Source organism: Homo sapiens, chromosome 1, assembly GCF_000001405.40.
Source record: "Homo sapiens chromosome 1, GRCh38.p14 Primary Assembly".
Taxonomy (NCBI): domain Eukaryota; kingdom Metazoa; phylum Chordata; class Mammalia; order Primates; family Hominidae; genus Homo; species Homo sapiens.
In genome coordinates, this window is record NC_000001.11 from 162789383 (window position 1) to 162813024 (window position 23642).

A 23642-nucleotide genomic window follows, 5' to 3' on the forward strand; every position below is an offset into this window, starting at 1 on the left:
CACTTATGTCTTTAGATAAATGCACACTTACACATAGACAGTTCGCTTAGAAGGCATATAAGCTCTGAAAAACTGTAATTTTGAGTTGGTCTGGTGATAATTTCCAGGCCTTCTCCCTGCAACCGGTTACAGAAATAAAAACTCTCTTCCTCCCCAGCTCATCTGCATCTCGTTATTGGGCCTTGAAAAATAGCAGCCCAACCCTCAGTTTGGTCTGAGAACAGAAGGTTGTAGGGAGAGTAGCCTTTGATCCTTTGCTACTGGGGAGTGGGGAGATGGGGTTTTTCCTTCTGGTTTAGCTTTAGGAAGTTGGTGTTAATTGACCCTAGGCTCTCGGCCCCCAGACCCAGGTGTTTTCCTTTTGATCCAGCTTTGGGAAGCCAGCACCAATTGGTCTCAGATTCCCTACTTCCAGCCCTTGCTGTTTTTCCTTGATTGAGCTTTAGGAAGTCAGCACGAAGTGGCCTTAAGTACCCTGCCTCCAAACCCTATTCTGCCTCATTTTGGCAGAGTACTTTTATATGTCTTGGATCTAATAATAAAATATCGGGGCTTGTGTTTTGTATGCCTTTTGCTTTTCTTTTTCTAGCACTTTATTTTTTTGTATTTTCTAAAAGCACCCATCTGGGATGGCTTGGAGACAAAAACAGGTCCTTTAGCACAGTTTGAGATGCACTGATACAGAAGGTTACAGCACATTCTCAGTACTTCGGAGAATGAAGTTCTGAGATTCTGATTCCACGCCACATTCCAAGTTTTGAATACTGGTAATTTACGTCTGATTCTACATAAAGTTCTTAATAAAATCAGTGCTCATTTTCTCAAATAAGCTTCTTTAGAGGAGGAGGTCTGGGATCAAAAGTTGGGCTGTGAAGTGGCACAATGCCTGGATCTGTACATCCAAAAAGGAGTGGAAAATTAGATGATAATCGCCCAACTTTGGCTCCTAGACCCAAACCTTTTCTCTAAAATGGGCACTGGTGCAAATACCGTGAGGCCTTCCTGCAAAGAAGTGCCAATCTCAGGCGCCAGGGCACAGACCCAGTGCGTGTCACAGATCCTGTCCTGAGTGCTAGGCCGGGTGACGCCCCCACCAGGATTAAAGATCAGGCGCCCGCTGAGCCCTAGGAAGCAGTGACAGACACCTGCGCCTAGGCGGAGCGAGAAGAGCCTGGAATGGCTCCGGGCTTTGCGTCACGCAGCTCCGCCCCTCGGCCTATCTCACCCGACGCCGTCTCCGAGGGCAGGGAACGGTTGGCGGACTGAGATTGGAGGGATCAGCTCAGACTCGATGACGCAACGGGAGGCGGGGCGTGGCCGTACTCTGATTGGTGACGGGTGAGGCGGCCCGAAATCGTAGGACTTCCGAAAGCAGCGGCGGTGTTTGCTTCACTGCTTGGAAGTGTGAGTGCGCGAAGATGCGAAAGGTGGTTTTGATCACCGGGGCTAGCAGGTGAGGCCTCCTTTGGGTTGGCAGAGGCGGCAGCGGATCAGGGGTCCGAGAGAGCAGGGGTCTGCGACCCTCCACGAACGGACCCCGGAAGCGCCCGCCCCTGGCTTTGCCTAGGTTCCCCGGAGTCTGCAGCAGGTGTGGGGCATGTCGGCCTCTTGAGGTGCTCAGTAACTGGTGCTTTGTATTAAACATGACAGTGAAAAGGAAAACTAGAGCATCAGTAAGTGATGAGTGTCGCAGTGATGATCCTGAGGTTATCAAGGCAATGGGGTACTCAGGCGGGCTCCGCCCCTTTTCCATCTTTGCCTACTGTTCGTATTTATCGTCAGTGCCCAATATTTTGCTCCTGACCACGTGATCATGTCTTATACTCCAGGTGTTTTGTCTGTACAAGCCTTTTGCCTACAAATTTGAACACCCATGAACATTAGGACGGTGGAGAGAAAACAATCCCGTTTCATTTAGCTCAGTGCTAGAGAGCTAACATACTCTTCAGAAACCCAGAGAAAATTAATCTTTTCCTATGAAGGCATGGTTGGGGTGCAGAATAACCAGCTCATAATAATTCCAGGGTTGCTCGTTTAGTCTCTCAGCCTCTTCTGTTGCTTGTTTTACCTGTCATTTGCACTTCTGTGAAAAATGTGTGGAGGATGAAGCCAATCAAACCATTTTTCTACTAGTTGCATTTGGCATTTTTAAATGATTAAGACAGAGGACATGTTAAACATTTAAGATTGATCCACTTTCAATTATTTAACCACATGCGTATTAACTAAGCCAGCTTGGTAGGTGTCTGCATTTGGCAACTTTTTAGCATACCCTCTCAAGTGACTTTAACCGTTGATTGGTGCTTCTTATGTGGAAGGTACTGAGTAAGTCAGAATTGATTTTGTCTGTTTCTTTTACATATATTGTGACATGTGCAATTGTATATTAAATGCCTACTGTTCTCATGTGAGGACAAATAAATATTTTTGATGCTTTGTTGTTGGTGCTAATAGATTACTGATGGTTCCAGGCTCTTTTTGGGTTTTAACTATTAACATATTTGCCTGGAATCAGCTTAAGTCTTGAAAGAGAACTTATTACCCAGCTTTTCATTGCTATCAGCCAGGCTGGTCTGACTGCTGTCACCACTCCTATGCGGTTTTACAATGCTGGTTTTGAAGTTCTTTGTTTCCAAGTGGTGTACTCATCTAATATTTAGTGTATTCCTACCTTCTACTTAATCATGTTGAGTTCTTTCTTTTTCTATTATTTAATCATAGTTGTTGAGAGGGATTTGTACATCCTGCCATGTTACTGATGCCTCATCCTGAAAGATTCATCTGTTCCTTTATCAGAGATTTCTGGTGCTCCTTATGGTGTTTACGATACCAGTAGGTGGTAGAGCCCTTGCCCCTGAGGAGCCTAGACAGCAAAGTCAAAATGCACATAGGAAACAGCTAATAAGATGCTCTTTTGAGCCCTTACTGGTGATATATTAAATCATTTTCATGAGTGACATAATAGGTACAAAATGAAAACCACTGGCAGGATAAAGCCCAGTAGTAGAAAAACTAAAGAACAATTCTTGTTTTCAGTCCAGTTATTTTGTCATTGAAGTTTTTCAAAATGAGAAAAACACAAACTAGGCTGTGTCTCAAGCAAGTGACTATTGGAGTGTAGGATTCCTCCCTTCTTAAATAATTGTTGAGTCTTTTCTTTCTATCTGGGCTTCTCATTGGAGGTCAACTTGACACAGTTTTCTGAACCAGAGAGAAATGCCTGTACCTGATGCCATCCCAGATAACCCACATCTTGTGTCTGAATTGTCCTCCCAGTGGCATTGGCCTGGCCCTCTGCAAGCGGCTGCTGGCGGAAGATGATGAGCTTCATCTGTGTTTGGCGTGCAGGAACATGAGCAAGGCAGAAGCTGTCTGTGCTGCTCTGCTGGCCTCTCACCCCACTGCTGAGGTCACCATTGTCCAGGTGGATGTCAGCAACCTGCAGTCGGTCTTCCGGGCCTCCAAGGAACTTAAGCAAAGGTATATCTCTTGCTGATGGATTTTTTTTCTCATGTGATTGTGCAGCATAACACTTAATAAAATAAGAGAGGAAAGAAAAACCTGAAAAGAAACAGGTGCGGTGTAAGCAGTTATGTTGAGGAAGTCTGTATAGGGTGACCCATTGTGTCTCAGTACCACGTTTTCTTTCTTTTTTTTTTTTTTTTTAAAGAGATGGAGTCTTGCTCTGTTGCCCAGGCTGGAGTGCAATGGCGTGATCTCGGCTCACTTCAACCTCCACCTCCTGGGTTCCAAGTGATTCTCCTGCCTCCACCTCCTGAGTAGCTGGGATTACAGACATGCGCCACCATGCCTGGTTAATTTTTGTATTTTTAGTAGAGACGGGGTTTTACCATGTTGGTCAGGCTGGTTTCGAACCCCTGACCTCGTGATCCACCCGCCTCGGCCTCCCAAAGTGCTGGGATTACAGGCGTGAGCCATTGCGCCTGGCCAGTACCACATTTTCAGTCTCAATCATGATCATAATTATTTCATGGAGACTAATTTATGAGTACATCCTGATGTGTGATCAGTTGGTACTGGGATTACAGGCGTGAGCCATTGCGCCCAGCCAGTACCACATTTTCAGTCTCAGTCATGATCATAATTATTTCATGGAGACTAAGTTATGAGTACATCCTGATATGTGATCGATCAGTTGGTGCTGGGATTACAGGTGTGAACCATTGCACTTGGCCAGTACCACATTTTCAATCTCAATCATGATCATAATTATTTCATGGAGACTAATTTGTAAGTACATCCTGATGTGTGATCAGTTGCACTGCCTTACGTTAAGGTAACTCCTTTGACATTTGAATTCATTTTTTACATCTTTCTTCACATAATGAATTCATTAAGTAGATAAGGCAAGTAGTGAGTGACATTTAACAAGTGAAGAAACTGAGACACAGAAATAAGGGTAATATGCCTGGGAAGGTCATCCAATCTTATATTAGTTGGGTGGGTCCAAGACCCCAGGGCTTCTCCCTGCTTCCTAAGGGGTATTTTTTTTCCCTAGGCCAGTAAAGATTTGTTCACACCTTCACAGTAATTGGCATGTAATAGACATTTGATCAATAGTTGGTATATGAAGGAATAGAGTCCTCAGATGTATAACTCCCCTGAAAGTGAACACAAAATTGCATGTAGGTGCACAATGCATTTTTCTGAGCAGAGAGGGCTTTTTATTTATTTATTTGTTTTTAAATTGTAAGAGGAATTTATGATGAAAAAAGTCCAAGAACCCTGCACTAGTCTATGCTGCCCTAGGGCTATCTGGAATAATTAATTTTCAAATATTGAGGCACTTAAGAGACAAAGAACTACCTTGTTTCCTTGGACAGTAGAATGAAATGGGTAGAAACAAGGAAGGCTTTCTTGATGAAGATGTTTGCTGAATAAAAATACTTCACATTTTATGTGAATTGATAATCATTTGCATTTGCCTGTTCCAAATGCACAAGTTACAAAGTGAAAGCTAGTTTTCTTCACTCCAGCTCTTCTCAGTGTGGCCTTAGTCCTTTGTAAATGTGGTTTCTCTCTCCAGTACTGCTGAGCTATTAGAGTTTTCTACCGCATCTTAAAGAAAAAAAAACAAAAAACCTGAGATTTTCTAGGTTCTGTTTTCACATAAATTTTGATATATTCCATATCCCCTACTCCTCCATAACTTAAGCATCTCCAGGGCTGTGAAACTGTATACTGAATGTCCTTATGGAGATAAAAACCATGAAGTTGAGAGAAGTTATGAGTTTTAAATCATGTTTACAGGCATTCTTTTCCCAAACTTTCTTAGCCAGCTGGCTTCTTACCTGCTTTGTTTAGATTTTGTTATATTTTCTTATTTGGAAGAAAAGAACCTTCATTTCCCAGTTAATAATATCCCATTCCGATGCAGTTTACTTTTGAGACCCAAAGTTTTAACATTTATAGTACTGACTATTCCCAAATGCCTTCAAAGGTTCAAGATATTCGGTACTTTATCGCGAGTTCAGTAATTTAGTATTTCGTAAGATATTTAGCAACTTAGCACAGATTCAAGGCAGTGAGGCTGTGGGGCAGAAGGGAGCACTTCAGGTGATAAGTGAGTTGTCCCAGGTACCTGTCATCAGCATTTTAGTGAAGTTTTGAGGTATTTAGTCCGCAAAACAGCCTTTTTTTTGAGATGGTTGGTGTCAATTCAAGTTTAGGAAATGAATGGTTATAGTGATATTCACAAGTTTGGAATATATGAAAGTGTCCAGATAGATTCTTACTTATGTCAAGAAACTACACCCAGTGGCTCAAATGGATCTCTTCAGTTCTAAGTCTGAAATAAACTAGAGCTAAAGAGAGCTTGAGAATCCCTTCTAATGGCTCAAGTAGCACCATCCCTGACACCTGGTCTTTCCATCTGTAGCATTCTCTTCTATTAGATAGTGCAGATGAAAACTAGTAAGAAATAGTGATGCTGTTTTATCCATATTAGAGCAATGTATCAATTATTTTATTGATGAGTGGTATGTCATTTTACTGAAGCCAGAGCTTAATTTGATGTCTTTACTAAACATTTCCTCTCCGTTCCTAGCCAAATATGTTAATATTCATAGATAAAAGTTGGCAAATAAGGTAATAGAACAAGCAACAATGGATGAACTCACACTATCTTTGTGGCACTTACATGATGAACTGATGGTAATAATATCAGCATTTTAAATGGTCAATTTAATAATTTGAGTCATTTGTCAATTATTTATAGGATGATCAAGAAATGGTTGTATGTGATCTGTGTTGAAGACCATGTATGTATTTCAGGGTCCTAAGTTTAGAAGCTATGACTCTTAATATCTTGGGTTATTCAGAGACAGTTTGGTACATAGAACTCTAGGAGATATTCTGAATATTTATGGTGTCTGTGAGTATCATGAGAGCAGGCTTTACCTGCCTTGAACCTAGTTCAAAATGAGTACATTTAAACCTATGTAAGTCTTAGATGAAGAGTCTTAGATGAAGACTTACATAGGTTTAAAACTGAAAATGCTTTTTCAACTCAGCATTTCATATCCCTTCCGTGACAAGTATTCAGGGGGGAGCCCAACAAGATTACCTTACCCCCATTTATCTTTTATAATCTCAGTGTATTCTTACGAACTTTCATCATTTTAGGATACATAGGACTTGTCCATGAACACTGAAAGGTTTCCACATGGATCTTCTGTTTTATTATATATTTTGGCATTCAGATTTCAGCATTAATAGATCAGGTCAGGTGAATATCAATAGTATATAAATTTTACTTGTCAACCAGAGGAGATGTGGATTTTTTTTTTAAAGCAAGACACTTTGTAAGACGAGGAGAGTGGGTTTAAGAGATAGAGGGTTGCTGCAATTCCTTATTGAGAGGACAGAGCTGGAAGGAATTATTGATCAGAGGTTTTACTTAAAGCCCACGATGACTCCACAGATTCTGTTTGAAGCCACTACCAAAGAAAGAATTCTCAAATGTTTACTGTAGCTAAAGAAAAACTGTTGAGAAAGAAATGCTGTAACTCTAATGTGCTATAAATTCTTCTGAACTTGCTGTGGCTAATATATTAATTTAAAAAGTATTTTTTGTCTTTCTTAGGCCTCCTTGATTCTAGTCACTCTAGAGATAGAATACACAATCTTGTCCTGATGTTTTTACTTGCAACTCACAATCTTGTTTGGTGGTTTACTTGCAGGTTTCAGAGATTAGACTGTATATATCTAAATGCTGGGATCATGCCTAATCCACAACTAAATATCAAAGCACTTTTCTTTGGCCTCTTTTCAAGGTAATTTTCGTTTTATGGATGAACTGATTGGAAGGAATGTGTTCATTTTTCTGCCTAGTTTTGATGGCATGTTAAGTTGGGGGGATGAAAGGTAAGGGGTTGTTGAAAAGGTTGAAGACAGAAAAAGGAGATGTCGCAACCATATCATGAAAGAAAAGCAATCCTCTTTTGTGGGGAGTGCTGAAAGTCCCGTTTTTTATGGTATTCTAAGTCTCCAGGACATTCTAAATGGTTTAGAAGGTCATTTTTTGGTCTGCCTGGATATGCCTATTAGCAAGAACATTTTGAAATTAGGCAGAGTTCTCAGAGAGTCTCCAATTTCCAGGAAAGTTACTTTGAACTGTTTCCCAGCTGTATGTCAGGTGCTCTGACCAGTAGGTTGGGGAAATGCAGACAACTAATGTTTCCTGGGAGATTCTCGTTACTCATTAGTGTAGTGGCTTTCAAAAATGTTGAAACACAACCAGGAGAATTCTTATTTATAGGAATAGATCTTACTTTGTGACCCAATACACTTATTCATAAATAGGCATTCTTACTATGTGCTGCTTACTATACCAATGCTTTTGCTTTACTTCTTTTCCATTAAAAGACAGACACACACACACACTCTCACACTCTCTCTGTCTCTCTCTCCCCGCATTGATTTTGACCTACTAAATTGACCTCCCAGCAGAACACTATATTAATACGTTTGAAGTATTCCCAGTTAAAAAAACAATCTGTTTAACTCTTTTTTTTGACAGTTAAACATACTTTGTGCACAGGAAAACTTTTTTTCCCTTTGGCATAGCTTATTATTCCTTTAGAACAGTTTACCTGTAACCTGATTGGGAAAGAGGTGAAGAGAATTTTAGCAGCAGGTTTTTGAGAGACTCAAGTTCCTATTGGTAGCGTGAGCTATAAGTATGTAAGTATTTCTGTGAATTAGTGGGGGGAAGGAGGGTCTTTGGCATTTCATTTAATACAATAACCCAGTCTGAGAAATAGGTATTTTTATTCCTGTCATTATAGAATCAAGGGAGGTGTAGTTTATGGGTCGGGGGGATGGGTTGGAAAGTGTTTTCAGTATTTCCAGTTAAAGAAGCTTTAAAAAGTCATGCAATTATCTTCTGCTGTTTCAGAAAAGTGATTCATATGTTCTCCACAGCTGAAGGCCTGCTGACCCAGGGTGATAAGATCACTGCTGATGGACTTCAGGAGGTGTTTGAGACCAATGTCTTTGGCCATTTTATCCTGGTAAAGAAGCTGTGGGCTTAATAAGCTAATATTTCGTGTGATAGTTTCTGTAAAGCTCTGGGCACAGGGCATTATTATAGTTGAGCAGCCAGTTAACTGATTTAATCTCATGTTTGAGTTTTCTTGATTGCATTTGCCTTGTTTATTGTGAGCATGGAATACTTCTGGAAGCTTTCCTAGTAGATTTTTCTTTAATAAATGTACTAATAGTTTTTGATTTACAGAATTACTGCAAAGATAGTACAGAGACTTTCTGTATGCCCTACACCCAGTTTCCCCATTATTAACATTTCGCATTGGTATGATGCATTTGTCAAAATAGATGAATCAATTCTGCTACATTATTATTAACTAAAGTACACACTTTATTCAGGTTCTGTTTTTGCCTAATGTCTTTTTTCAGTTCTAGGATCCCATTCAAGATACTACATTACATTTAGCAGTCATGTCTCCTTAGGCTCTTCTTGGTTGTGACAGCTTCTCAGACTTTCCTTGTTTTTGATGACCTTGACAGTTTTGAGGAGTACTGCTTAGGTGTTTTGTAGACTCTCTCAATCGGGATTTGTCTGATGTTTTTCTCATGGTGAGACTGAAGAATGTGGTTTTTGGGAGGAAGGCCACAGAGGTAAAGTGACATTCTCATGACATCATATCAAGGGTGTATGCTATCAGTATGACTTCTCAGTGTTGATATTAACCTTGATCACCTGGCTTGAGGTCATGTTTGTCAGGTTTTTCCATTGTTAAGTTACTTTTTCTTTCTCCCTTTTCATACTCTACTTTTTGAAAGAAAGTTGGGCCGGGCACGGTGGCTCCTGCCTCTAATCCCAGCACTTTGGGAGGCCAAGGCGGGCAGATTACCTGAGGTCGGGAGTTTGAGATCAGCCTGACCAACATGGAGAAACCCCATCTCTATCAAAAAACAAAATTAGCCGAGTGTGGTGACGCATGCCTGTAATCCCAGCTGCTTGGGAGGCTGAGGCAGAAGAATCGCTTGAACCCGGGAAGCGGAAGTTGTGGTGAGCCGAGGTCATGCCATTGGACTCCAGCCTGGGCAACAACAGTGAAACTCCGTCTCAAAAAAAAAAAAAAAAGAGAAAAAGAAAGAAAGTTACTATGTGCAGCCAATGCATACTGGCTAGTGCTCTACCTCCTTAAGAGTGGGTTATCTACAGAAATTATTTGGATTTTTTCCACAAGGGAGATTGTCAGTTCTCCTTTATTTATGTCTTTAATTCAGTCGTTTATTATATCCATATGGACTCATGTTTATGTATTTTCTGCTTTGAAATTATAAATACTATTTTATTTTCCTGCTCAAATTTTTTCAGTTTTGGCCACTGGGAACGCTTTCAGTTGGCTCCTGTATCTCTTTGGCACACCCCCATTGTTATGGTTTTCTCTTTTTGTTTTAGCTTTCGTTTTGAGCAGTTTCTTACTATCTGGCACTACAAGATCCTTCAGACTCATCTTGTGTATTTCCTTGTTCAGTCCTAGAATCAGCTACTTTTCTAAAGCCATATGTTTTCTTTTATCAGAGAATGGTTATTAGAAACCAAGATCTGGGTGCTTATTGCTGCTGAGATATCAGTGTCTTCTAAACCCTCTCTGCTGATAGACTAAGAGATATATATGTACATACTAACTCATGTATGTATACATATCTATAAATATTTTTCTGTGTAACTAATTCATGTCTCTTTTAGATAACTAGTTAATACTGATGTCTCTGACCCTAATCTCTTACCATACAGTACAGTGGTTTCAAAATTTTTATCTGTATTCTGTCAGTATATTTTAATACTTTTTTTTTTTCTTTCACCCAGATTCGGGAACTGGAGCCTCTCCTCTGTCACAGTGACAATCCATCTCAGCTCATCTGGACATCATCTCGCAGTGCAAGGAAATCTAATTTCAGCCTCGAGGACTTCCAGCACAGCAAAGGCAAGGAACCCTACAGCTCTTCCAAATATGCCACTGACCTTTTGAGTGTGGCTTTGAACAGGAACTTCAACCAGCAGGTAAGGCCTGTCTCAGTGATACGGAAATGGCAGAGGAGGGTTCTCTTAATTACCTGCTGTTGATTTCCTAATAAGGTAGCTGGCTTTCCACTAACTCTTATAGTTTAGATTGATATTTGGTGTATATGAAAGTGTTAGGGCAGAGATAATTGGCTCCTGACATTATAGTTATAGGTAGTTCATTCTGTGGTTCTTCAGGAATTCTAACTTATGTTAACAGAGTGACACTACTAAAAGTGATAATAGCTACTGTGTTGGTACTTGCTGTGTTTCAGGTGCTGTATTCGTCTGTGTATGTCATTAAATACCTGCCTCATTACATGGAGGTGGGTCTAAGTATTACCATTTTCAGATGAGGACACTAAATCTCGGAGAACTTAAGTCATTTACCTGATGGTCACACAACTTGTAAATGGTAGAGCTCAGAATTGAGCCCGAGGCTGTCTTGACTTTATAGCTTGGACTTTTCCCACTGTACCATGCTGCCGCCTAGTGTTTGTCATAGCAGACGTTTATAGGACAGTCAAGTAGTTATGAAACCTTCTGGATAGTGGTGGTTTTAGGTAAGACTCCAGAGCTCTGTCTCTATGAGGATCTCAGTTTATGGGATGTTTTTCAGGGGATGGTGACCCTTGTTGGTCATACTGAGTCCTTGTTGCCACTATGGTCTGCACCTTACTGCTTCTTTGTATGTCTCTGTTGCCCAGGTCTAAATTCTTACCTGGAAATCTCCAGTCTTCGCCTTGGACATTTTCTTTTGTTTGCTTTGATTGACAGTGTTCTATGAGTATGGGGCTATGGAGAAGTTTAATTTCACTAACATTTACAAAAGACCTATCATGTTTAGGGCACTGGGCCAGGTTTAGGGTTGAGGAGGAAAGTGAAATAAGATGATGATCAAGAATTATGTTTTACCTCAACGGAGCTTCTTGGATCATGAATTAGACATAGAAATATAACTCTTATGTGATGGTCTAGACCTGGCTTATTCTGGAATTGCTACCTTTATCAGGTGGTATTCTGTGTTCTGGCTCTTAGAATGATGCCCCCCTTTTTTTTTGAGACAGAGTCTCATTCTGTTGCCCAGGCTGGAGTGCGGTGGCACAATCATGGCTCACTGCAACCTCTATCTTCTGAATTCAAGTGATTCTTGTACCTCAGCTTCTCAAGTAGCTGGGATTACAGGGATGTGCCACCACACCCAATTTTTGTGTTTTTAGTAGAGACAGGGTTTTACTATGTTGGCCAAGCTGGTCTCGAACTCCTGACCTCAGGTATCTGCCTGCCTCAGCCTCCCAAAATGCTGGGATTACAGCACTTGCGCCCAGCCTGAATCATGCCTCTTATAAAGTTGAAGCTAAGAGCATACTTTCGGGAACTGAATTTGAATCCTGACTCTTTGTAACCCTAGGCATATTATTTAATCTCCCTATGCCTCAGTTTCCTCATCTGAAAAATAGGGATAGTAATAGTGCCTGCCTCACAGATTTATTGGGAAGATTGACTGAGGGGGATCTGTATGAAGCACTCACAGCAGTGTTTTGTATTCAGAATGTGAGTTTGTGTGTGCATGTGTCTGTACAAATATGTACATGTGGATATACATGAGTGTGGGTATGTATTTGTGTGCCTACCCATGTGTAGCATGTTCATATGTACATGTACGGGTTTTATGGGTGTGTGCACATGTGTTTGTGAATGTACTTTTTGGGTGTGTGCATGTGTGTAGGTGTCAGTGCATGTGGGCTGCACATGCGTGTACATGTTCTTGTATTGGCTGTTAATATTGCAGGTTGGACTCAGCATGTTGGCCCAATTGTGCACCTCCTTCTGAAGTTTCTTGAGATGTTTAAAAACTTGTCACAACTGCTTCCTGATACTCTGAGAACTCCCTTTTAGAGGGATTAGCTTTTCCTTTCATAAAAAGGTCTGGGATTCTATTTAAGTCTCAATTATCAAGTGAGCTTTGGGATTTTATCTTTTACGAAGGAGGGAGATTTAGCTATTGCTTGTAAAATCTGTTGAGATTGGTTCTCAGCCAATGACTTTTTCTTCTTGGCCTTTATGAGGAAAGAAGCAGCTGAGAAAGAATAACATTACAGGATTCCTTTTGAAGCCCTGTGTTACTGGAAATGTTGTCAGGTTCTATATAGACTGCCTGATAGACTTTAATTATCCATGCATGCTCCCCCACTCAAGCTGTAGAGAAATACTCAGGATCATCACAATTTAATCCCTATAATTAAACAAATGGAAGGATACAGTCTTGGTTAAGATTGTCTTCTTCTTTCTTTTTTGTTTATCTCTCAACATCAGAAAATTGTATATGTTGGAAACGCTGGATTTTAGTTTGAAGATTTCTTCGTTTAGGACAGAATAGTCCCCAAGTGATCCTAGGAAGCTCCTAGAATAAGAACTTTTCCTTAGCTGTTTTAGGGGCAGAGCACATTGTTTTCTTAGGAAAAACTTTTGGACTATCATGAGGATAAGTCTTAGCTCTTGACTTTTTTCTAGAGGATTGTTGGTAAATCAAGGGGATTCTCAGGGATGGTTGATCCATGTCAGGCAGTGCCAAGCCTCTGCAGTACCAAATAAAGGATGAAAAGCCTCCAGGTTCTGTTGCTTAGGGTGCTGTCTGTCCATTGAACTGTCTGTTAAACTGGCACTTCCTATTTTTTTATTTAAAAGAAAAAATGAGTTTAAAAATGATAAAAATGAGTTAAAATAGTCAATATCAAAATAAAGTAAAATGTATAGTATAAATTAAACTAAATAAAATAGTAAAACAAATCCCAATAAGAGGCATGATCCCAGGGCTCCAGGACTTAACTGTAGATCACATAGGACCCTTTGTATTAACATAAGCTCTGTGTTAATTGGGGCTCTCTTTGTAGGGTGGAACTTTCTAAAATGAGTTCTAGGCTAAGGACCTGATTGAGAGATCTTCAGTTGGAGAAAGTTTTGTGATAGCACATACAGCCTAATGCCGGGAGCACCCCCCTCAAGCTAGAGGTATGGGTCTTATGTACTTGCAGGGAAACAGACACATACTTTAGGTTTAGCTGTCTATTTATTAGGCCAGAAACTTCTTGAAGGCAAGGACTGTACTCCATACATCTTTTAATCTTAAATGCTCATTATGATTAAAAAGCTGATCTTCAGTTAAGCCAATAATAGGAAAAACTCAGATAACCAGGCCCTGCTTTTCTCCCCCAGCGTTAAGATTGGTTATTTTTTATACTGCAAGGTTCATGAGAATAGAGACTTTGTCCCACTAATTTTTGCATCCTGGGTGCCTCTCACAGTGGGTTCTCTTAATACATGATTCTTCAACATAAACGTTCTACCCAACTTCAGAGACAACTCAGAACATAAATTCTTTATTACCTGACTTCTGGCTCATGTACATACCTCTTTTATTAACTAGCATGTAGCTGGACTGAGTCAATATACACTGAGTTAAAGTCTCATTGCTACACCTCTCTGTTCCTAGGGTCTCTATTCCAATGTGGCCTGTCCAGGTACAGCATTGACCAATTTGACATATGGAATTCTGCCTCCGTTTATATGGACGCTGTTGATGCCGGCAATATTGCTAGTAAGTGATGAATATACTTCTTTTCTTAACTCATAAAAATCTCTTTTTGGGACCTAGAAGATATGTTTAAGGGTTGGGAAATGATTTAAGGAATTGAACCTGAATGCCATTTAACTTGAGGTTTTTGAACTTACTTAATGTGAAACCTCTGCTTAATATTTCTAAGTGTTACTGCCACACCACCATTTGAGTGTCTACTTCTCTTTAAAGGAGTGTTTCATTGCTCATGCACCACAGATCCCAAGAGTTCTGTAATCATATAATTTTAGAAAACCCATGTTGAACATTGTTAAACTGGACTTCTCTAAGTTTTCAAACTGATCCTGTGCATCAAAAGTTCCCAAGAAGGGGATAATTGTGTACTATGTAACTATACAACCATATTTTTGTTTTGTGATTTGAACGTCTTGCAGGACCATTGTTTCTGTGGCACATCTTGAAAAATGCTACTTTTAGGAAATGATTCTCTCTTTAGGGCTCAGGAAGAAGTGTCTTTTCCTTAGGGCAGGCATAAAGTAAAGATCAGAAGTAAATAGGCCTTCATGTTAAAAGTAGTGGATTTGGAATAATGGAGATTAAATGATGTTTCTTTTTTGACTTCTTTATTTTTTGTTACTTAAAAAGTGTTCTATAATCAGAAAGGCAGGGTTTTAAAAAATATTTAAATGAATAATTCTTTCGTGACTCTATTCTAAACCACCAAAAAATAACAGTTGTTTTCTTTTCCGCAGCTTCGCTTTTTTGCAAATGCATTCACTTTGACACCATATAATGGAACAGAAGCTCTGGTATGTTACTGAAGTTTTTATAACTTGTATGATGACTTAGCAGATGTGAATTACAGGTTCACTCGTAGTAGAAATAATTTCAACAGAAAAGATAATAAGAGAATAAGCTCTGTGAATAATTGAGGTCCCGTTTGGAACTAAAGCGGACTATAAGGCTAAGCACAGAACATTAGGAGTGAAGTTTGCAAGTTTAACATCTACCATGGCACTGGGCACCATGACTGTAGGGAAAGCACTTCTTTAGAGGCAAGATACACCAGCAGCTAGAGGAGAGACAGAGCAATGGGAAGCTGGAGGGACAGGCAGAGCAGGACGGTGACTGCACAATCAGTCTGTGATTTCCCGTGGAGAAAGAGCATTTTGTGGGTCAAGAGCCAGGACAACAAGGTTGAACACCATTCCCCTCTATGAAGATTTTCTTCCCTCTCTTAGAAGATCAAGTTGTTATTTTATTAGGAAGCCAGTGGAGTTAAATCACACGTGGCAAATGGGTTGCATGTGTTTCCTCATCAATGGCAGACATTACTAATGGGCTATAATACTCCTTTCTGCTATACACACGTGATGTCTCTGAATATTCTTCAACCCAGAGCTCCAGAGGCAGCCTCTGCTAACGGTTCAGAATTGTCCTACATAAAAAGCCCACTGTATCTGAGTCAGTCCTTTACATTTGTCTCCCTCATTCCATTGAACTCCTTCAGGATTTTTGCTATTCACTTTGGAAACCTGAGGACCTAGCATTGTAGTACTTAGTAGATTCTTAAATCTTGACTTAATTGAGATTAGCTAAGGAAAACATAAATGGAATTGGCTTTGATGCTCTTGTTTTGGTAAGTGTTACAGAAATAAATGCATTTATTGTAGGAATACAAATTGGTTGTAGAAGCAAGTGCTTTTAAACTATATTTTAATTGGTTCTCAATATATTTGCCAAACCATTCACTGATGATATTTGAGAGGATGTTTATAATTTGTCTGGGGAGCTCTATAAAGTGCAGATTGTGAATCTCCACCAGCCTCACTCATCTTGGGCAGAAGAAACAAATCATTGACACATCCTTCCTTTCCAGGTATGGCTTTTCCACCAAAAGCCTGAATCTCTCAATCCTCTGATCAAATATCTGAGTGCCACCACTGGCTTTGGAAGAAATTACATTATGACCCAGAAGGTAAATGTGCTTACATTGTTGCACTGATGTTTGCTGTTGGGTTGATGAATTAAGCCTGTGTTCCTGACCAGCCCCTCAGCCCCCCAGCTTCGCTTCTCTGGGTACTCACTGTTCACCAGCATCACACTGGCCTGATTTTATTTCATCCTGCTCCCTCCTGCTTCTCGCACATCTTATTCCCCCGACTTGAGCTGCTCTCAGCCTCTTGATGATTGATTTGTGCTCATCCTTCAGATCAGTTTATCCCATAGCCTTTAGTGACCCTGTAGACCGGGCCTGGGTGCCTCTGTAATAGGCTTTCTTGACATCTCGTACCTGTTGCAGATCATGCTTGTTCACCTTCGGGTTCCCCTGTCAGAATGTAAGCTCTTTGAGGAGGAGGGTCATACCCCATTTCCTAGCAGGCTGCCTTACACATGGTAGACGCTCAGTAAATACGTTGCAAGTTGAATGAAATATGAAGTGTTTTTCTGTGTGAAGTTAACTTCCCTTTGAGTATTCAATTCTGCTTGTGACAATTGTCAGCTTTAATAGATTGGTGTTTTGAAGAGGAACAGAATAATGTGCAGAAAAAAAATGTCAGTACTGTGTTTTTTAGACTTGGTATAATCTAAAATGAAATCAAACATAGAGTTACATACTGGGGAATAAGAAAATTTATTTTAAACTAAGAGAACTACTTTGTTGTACTTTTGTCATGCGTAAGGTTTGTTTCAGCCCCTGATTTTCCACTGTCCAGCCTGTTGTGAGGAGGCATTAGCATAAGATAAAATGAGATTGAGGTGACTGTTATCGCAGGTAAGTCAAGTAACCGGCATTGATCTTGGCCTCTGTTAGTAGCGTGAGTTAAAAGGGGAGCCATGCACTTGGCTTCCTGTGCTATCTGTTCACTAAAAGTGAACCTTCCAGGTTTTTCAAAATATGTTCTGTGGGATACTAGTTTCCTGAGAAGATTTGCAAGAAGCAGTTCCTCTAGCAAGTAAAATTGAACCATGCTTCATATTACATTCCCCTCTTTCAGAGACTTGTACAGCATACATCAGCAAAGTAAAGGCTGTGAGAAGTTGAAACAGTTAAGAAATGTGTGTGAAATATTTTATCCTGCTGTTTTCAGTACTTCACCATGAATATTTTTTAAAGCAAATTTTACATAACCTGTAACATCCCTTTGGGGAATTCTATTGTAAACTAATAGCTTACTTTAGGCTAGCAGGGTGTATTTGAACTTACTATCTATTAACTTAGAAGGAATGATTTGTTTATCAAGGGGAAAATGTTTAGTTCTACAAACTGACATACTCATTAGCATTTTATGGAAATGCATTGAAGAAAGTATTTTAACCTTTGATTAATTTGGGGAAGTCAGCTTTCTCTTCTGTTAAAAGATGGGGTTGAACTAGAAGAGTTCTGTAATGCTTCTTCCAGCTCCATTATGGAAAAACTCTAACTTGATTGAAGATAAATGTTATTTTCTTTCTTTTTTTTAAAATTATTATTATACTTTAAGTTCTAGAGTACATGTGCACAACGTGCAGGTTTGTTACATATGTATACATGTGCCATGTTGGTGTGCTGCACCCATTAACTCATCATTTACATTAGGTATATCTCCTAATGCTATCCCTCCCCTCTACACCCACCCCACAACAGGCCCCAGTGTGTGAGGTTCCCCTTCCTGTGTCCAAGTGTTATCATTGTTCAGTTCCCACCTATGAGTGAGAACATGCGGTGTTTGGTTTTTTGTCCTTGTGATAGTTTGCTGAGAATGATGGTTTCCAGCTTCATCCATGTCCCTACAAAGGATATGAACTCATCCTTTTTTATGGCTGCATAGTATTCTATGCTGTATATGTGCCACATTTTCTTAATCCAGTCTATCATTGTTGGACATTTGGGTTGATTCCAAGTCTTTGCTACTGTGAATAGTGCCGCAGTAAACATACATGTGCATCTGTCCTTATAGCAGCATGATTTATAATCCTTTGGGTATATACCCAGGAATGGGATGGCTGGGTCAAATGGTATTTCTAGTTCTAGATCCTTGAGGAATCGCCACACTGTCTTCCACAATGGTTGAACTAGTTTACAGTCCCACCAACAGTGTAAAAGTGTTCCTATTTCTCCACATCCTCTCCAGCACCTGTTGTTTCCTGACTTTTTAATGATCGCCATTCTAACTGGTGTGAGATGGTATCTCATTGTGGTTTTGATTTGCATTTCTCTGATGGCCAGTGATGATGAGCATTTTTTCATGTGTCTTTTGCTTGCATAAATGTCTTCTTTTGAGAAGTGTCTGTTCATATCCTTTGCCCACTTGTTGATGGGGTTGTTTGTTTTTTTCTTGTAAATTTGAGTTCATTGTAGATTCTGGATATTAGCCCTTTGTCAGATGGGTAGATTGCAAAAATTTTCTCCCATTCTGTAGGTTGCCTTCCTCTGATGGTAGTTTCTCTTGCTTTGCAGAAGCTCTTTAGTTTAATTAGATCCCATTTGTCAATTTTGGCTTTTGTTGCCATTGCTTTTGGTGTTTTAGACATGAAGTCCTTGCCCATGCCTATGTCCTGAATAGTATTGCCTAGGTTTTCTTCTAGGGTTTTTATGGTTTTAGGTCTAACATTTAAGTCTTTAATCCATCTCGAATTAATTTTTGTATAAGGTGTAAGGAAGGGATCGAGTTTCAGCTTTCTACATATGGCTAGCCAGTTTTCCCAGCACCATTTATTAAATAGGGAATCCTTTCCCCATTTCTTGTTTTTGTCAGGTTTGTCAAAGATCAGATGGTTGTAGATATGCAGCATTATTTCTGAGGGCTGTGTTCTGTTCCATTGGTCTATATCTCTGTTTTGGTACCAGTACCATGCTGTTTTGGTTACTGTAGCCTTGTAGTATAGTTTGAAGTCAGGTAGCGTGATGCCTCCAGCTTTGTTCTTTTGGCTTAGGATTGTCTTGGCAATGCGGGCCCTTTTTTGGTTCCATATGAACTTGAAAGTAGTTTTTTCCAATTCTGTGAAGAAAGTCATTGGTAGCTTGATGGGGATGGCATTGAATCTATAAATTACCTTGGGTAGTATGGCCATTTTCATGATATTGATTCTTCCTATCTATGAGCATGGAATGTTCTTCCATTTGTTTGTGTCCTCTTTTATTTCATTGAGCAGTGGTTTGTAGTTCTCCTTGAAGAGGTCCTTCACATCTCTTGTAAGTTGAATTCCTAGATATTTTATTCTCTTTGAAGCAATTGTGAATGGGAGTTCACTCATGATTTGGCTCTCTGTTTGTCTGTTATTGGTGTATAAGAATGCTTGTGATTTTTGCACATTGATTTTGTATCCTGAGACTTTGCTGAAGTTGCTTATCAGCTTAAGGAGATTTTGGGCTGAGACAATGGGGTTTTCTAAATATACAATCATGTAATTTGCAAACAGGGACAATTTGACTTCCTTTTTTCCTAATTGAATACCCTTTATTTCTTTCTCCTGCCTGATTGCCCTGGCCAGAACTTCCAACACTATGTTGAATAGGAGTGGAGAGAGAGGGCATCCCTGTCTTGTGCCAGTTTTCAAAGGGAATGCTTCTAGTTTTTGCCCATTCAGTATGATATTGGCTGTGAGTTTGTCATAAATAGCTCTTATTATTTTGAGATATGTCCGATCAATACCTAATTTATTGAGAGTTTTTAGCATGAAGAGTTGTTGAATTTTGTCAAAGGCCTTTTCTGCATCTGTTGAGATAATCATTTGGTTTTTGTCTTTGGTTCTGTTTATATGCTGGATTACGTTTATTGATTTGTGTATGTTGAATCAGCCTTGCATCCCAGGGATGAAACTCACTTGATCATGGTGGATAAGCTTTTTGATGTGCTGCTGGATTCGGTTTGCCAGTATTTTATTGAGGATTTTTGCATCAGTGTTCATCAGGGATATTGGTCTAAAATTCTCTTTTTTTGTTGTGTCTCTGTCAGGCTTTGGTATCAGGATGATGCTGGCCTCATAAAATGAGTTGGGGAGGATTCCCTCTTTTTCTATTGATTGGAATAGTTTCAGAAGGAATGGTACCATCTCCTTGTACCTCTGGTAGAATTCAGCTGTGAATCCATCTGGTCCTGGGCTTTTTTTGGTTGGTAGGCTATTAATTATTGCCTCAATTTCAGATCCTGTTATTGGTCTATTCAGAGATTTGACCCCTTCCTGGTTTAGTCTTGGGAGGGTGTAAGTGTCCAGGAATTTATCCATTTCTTCTAGATTTTCTAGTTTATTTGCGTAGAGGTGTTTATAGTATTCTCAGATGGGATCGGTGGTGATATCCCTTTTATCATTTTTTATTGCGTCTATTTGATTCTTCTCTCTCTTCTTCTTTATTAGTCTTGCTAGCAGTCTATCAATTTTGTTGATCTTTTCAAAAAACCAGCTCCTGGATTCATTGATTTTTTGAAGGGTTTTTTTGTGTCTCTATCTCCTTCAGTTCTGCTCTGATCTTAGTTATTTCTTGCCTTCTGCTAGCTTTTGAATGTGTTTGCTTTTGCTTCTCTAGTTCTTTTAATTGTGATGTTAGGGTGTCAATTTTAGATCTTTCCTGCTTTCTCTTGTGGGCTTTTAGTGCTATAAATTTCACTCTACACACTGCTTTAAATGTGTCCCAGAGATTCTGGTGTGTTGTGTCTTTGTTCTCATTGGTTTCAAAGAACATCTTTACGTCTGCCCTCATTTCGTTATGTACCCAGTAGTCATTCAGGAGCAAGTTGTTCAGTTTCCATGTAGTTGAGTGGTTTTGAGTGAGTTTCTTAATCCTGAGTTCTAGTTTGATTGCACTGTGGTCTGAGAGACAGTTTGTTATAATTTCTGTTCTTCCACATTTGCTGAGGAATGCTTTACTTCCAACTATGTGGTCAATTTTGGAATAAGTGCTGTGTGGTGCTGAGAAGAATGTATATTCTGTGGATTTGGGGTGGAGAGTTCTGTAGATGTCTATTAGGTCTGATTGGTGCAGAGCTGAGTTCAATTCCTGGATATCCTTGTTAACTTTCTGTCTTGTTGATCTGTCTAATGTGGACAGTGGGGTGTTAAAGTCTCCCATTATTATTGTATGGGAGTCTAAGCCTCTTTGTAGGTCTCTAAGGACTTGCTTTATGAATCTGGGTGCTCCTGTACTGGGTGCATATATATTTAGATAGTTAGTTCTTCTTGTTGAATTGATCCCTTTACCATTATGTAATGGCCTTCTTTGTCTCTTTGATCTTTGTTGGTTTAAAGTCTGTTTTATCAGAGACTAGGATTGCAACCCCTGCCTTTTTTTGTTTTCCATTTGCTTGGTAGATTTCCCTCCATCCCTTTATTTTGAGCCTATGTGTCTCTCTGCACATGAAATGGGTCTCCTGAATATAGCACACTGATGGGTCTTGACTCTTTATCCAATTTGCCAGTCTGTGTCTTTTAGTTGGATCATTTAGCCCATTTACATTTAAGGTTAATATTGTTATGTGTGAATTTGATCCTGTCATTATGATGTTAGCTGGTTATTTTGTTTGTTAGTTGATGCAGTTTCTTCCTAGCATCGCTGGTCTTTACAATTTGGCATGTTTTTGCAGTGGCTGGTACCGGTTGTTCCTTTCCATGTTTAGTGCTTCCTTCAGGAGTTCTTGTAGGGCAGGCCTGGTGGTGACAAAATCTCTCAGCATTTGCTTGTCTGTAAAGGATTTTATTTCTCCTTCACTTATGAAGCTAAGTTTGGCTGGATATGAAATTCTGGATTGAAAATTCTTTTCTTTAAGAATGTTGAATATCGGCCCCCACTCTCTTCTGGCTTGTAGAGTTTCTGCCAAGAGATCCGCTGTTAGTCTGATGGGCTTCCCTTTGTGGGTAACCCGACCTTTCTCTCTGGCTGCCCTTAAAAATGTTATTTTCAAAATGTTCAAAAGTTTATTTAATTTTTAGCCTTTCAATTTTGTGAACAAAGAGGCTGTTCTTGAAGTTTAGGCTCTGTGTTGGCTTGATGAAAGGATATCACTATTTAAAAGGGCTGAAAGTTTGCCTGTACATACTGTTGAGATTTTCTGCATGAAACACAAGAATGTAAAATAACTATAGATTAAACTAGATAGAATCTTAAATTTCTTGCATGTAAAAGCATTTAGGAGAGAGGCAGTCTCAGGCTGCCATGGCAAGTCCACAAATTGTCAGGTACTCAAGTTCCTTGCAATCACCACCTGGCCATCTTTAGGGCATGGCCCTCAGGCTTGTGGCTCGAGAGTGGTATGGAAGAAGGGAAGAAAAAAGGGATGCTTTATTTCTCTTGAAGAGACTCCAGGTATTATTTACATCTCACTAGCCAGAACATAGTCTCATGGCTCTGGCACCCATTGTTTCAATGGAGGCTGAAGTATCGTCTTATATCCAGAGGGCAGTGAGCCCAGCTAAAACCAGGGCTCTTTTACTAAGCCAGATTGATATTAGGAAGTGAGTAGCCATTAAAAACTCACAAAACTCTTGATTTTTCTGTTTTGTCCTTTGATAACCAGTTGGTTGGTGTCTTCTGTTACTGGGCATATAAAAGTTGGGGGAGATAGCAAAACTCAGATCTTTCAGTCTTGCTGTTTAAGGGAAGCATCAGTGGGTTTGGTGAGTGTTGGAACTGAGACTGAGATTTAGTATGTCTTCAGGCTCTCAGCTTCTTCCACGTGTCTGCCACCATGGCCCTTTCCTGCTGCCTCCTTTCTTTTTATTTCATATATTGAATGCCTTTTTTTTATACAAATACTATTCATCTTATTTTTCATTTCTAGACATCTCTATTTTTGCTTCTTTTCCAGATGGACCTAGATGAAGACACTGCTGAAAAATTTTATCAAAAGTTACTGGAACTGGAAAAGCACATTAGGGTCACTATTCAAAAAACAGATAATCAGGCCAGGCTCAGTGGCTCATGCCTATAATTCCAGCACTTTGGGAGGCCAAGGCAGAAGGATCACTTGAGACCAGGAGTTCAAGACCAGCCTGAGAAACATAGTGAGCCCTTGTCTCTACAAAAAGAAATAAAAATAATAGCTGGGTGTGGTGGCATGCGCATGTAGTCCCAGCTACTCAGAAGGATGAGGTGGGAGGATCTCTTGAGGCTGGGAGGCAGAGGTTGCAGTGAGCTGAGATTGTGCCACTGCACTCCAGCCTGGGTGACAGCGAGACCCTGTCTCAAAATATGTATATATTTAATATATATATAAAACCAGAGCTGACAATGACACTCTGGAACATTGCATACCTTCTGTACATTCTGGGGTACATGGATTTCTACTGAGTTGGATAATATGCATTTGTAATAAACTATGAACTATGACTGTCTCTTTTCCTTCCTTTTGGAATGATCTCCAAGACTGTGTATGTGTATGCATATGAGAAAAAGATTGGGCCGGGCACGGTGGCTCAAGCCTGTAATCCCAGCACTTTGGGAGCCTGAGGTGGGCGGATCATGAGGTCAGGAGTTTGAGACCAGCCTGGCCAACATGGCAAAAACCCATCTCTACTAAAAATACAAAACTTAGC

The 23642-nt window shown here is 39.9% G+C and overlaps 1 protein-coding gene across 4 annotated transcripts, besides 2 other annotated features; it reads left to right on the forward strand.

Moving 5' to 3' along the window:
• Positions 1248–1307: a silencer, noted in NCBI's record as "silent region_1495". NCBI's record gives its function as "represses an Ori minimal core promoter by ATAC-STARR-seq in GM12878 lymphoblastoid cells {active_cell/tissue: GM12878}" and the evidence as "EXISTENCE:reporter gene assay evidence [ECO:0000049][PMID:35858748]".
• On the forward strand, positions 1320–23441 carry HSD17B7 (hydroxysteroid 17-beta dehydrogenase 7). Of its 4 annotated transcripts, NM_016371.4 has the most exons (9): positions 1320–1453; positions 3277–3480; positions 7203–7295; positions 8420–8534; positions 10361–10555; positions 14049–14153; positions 14885–14941; positions 16012–16110; positions 22916–23441. In NM_016371.4, the coding sequence occupies exons 1-9, from the start codon at positions 1419–1421 to the stop codon at positions 23036–23038; spliced, it is 1026 nt and encodes a 341-aa protein (NP_057455.1). In that variant the 5' UTR covers positions 1320–1418; the 3' UTR covers positions 23039–23441. The 4 variants fall into 4 exon arrangements, 3 of the variants coding, with proteins under 3 accessions (NP_057455.1, NP_001291441.1, NP_001291442.1); XR_007060779.1 differs by lacking the exons at positions 14885–14941; positions 16012–16110; positions 22916–23441 and adding an exon at positions 13450–13567 and having other exon boundaries at positions 14049–14136; NM_001304512.2 differs by lacking the exons at positions 10361–10555; positions 14049–14153; positions 14885–14941; positions 16012–16110; positions 22916–23441 and having other exon boundaries at positions 8420–8760.
• Positions 2704–2904: a silencer, noted in NCBI's record as "peak435 fragment used in MPRA reporter construct". NCBI's record gives its function as "represses an SCP1 promoter by STARR-seq MPRAs in K562 erythroleukemia cells {active_cell/tissue: K562}" and the evidence as "EXISTENCE:reporter gene assay evidence [ECO:0000049][PMID:32103011]".
• Positions 23442–23642: the final 201 nt, after the last annotated feature.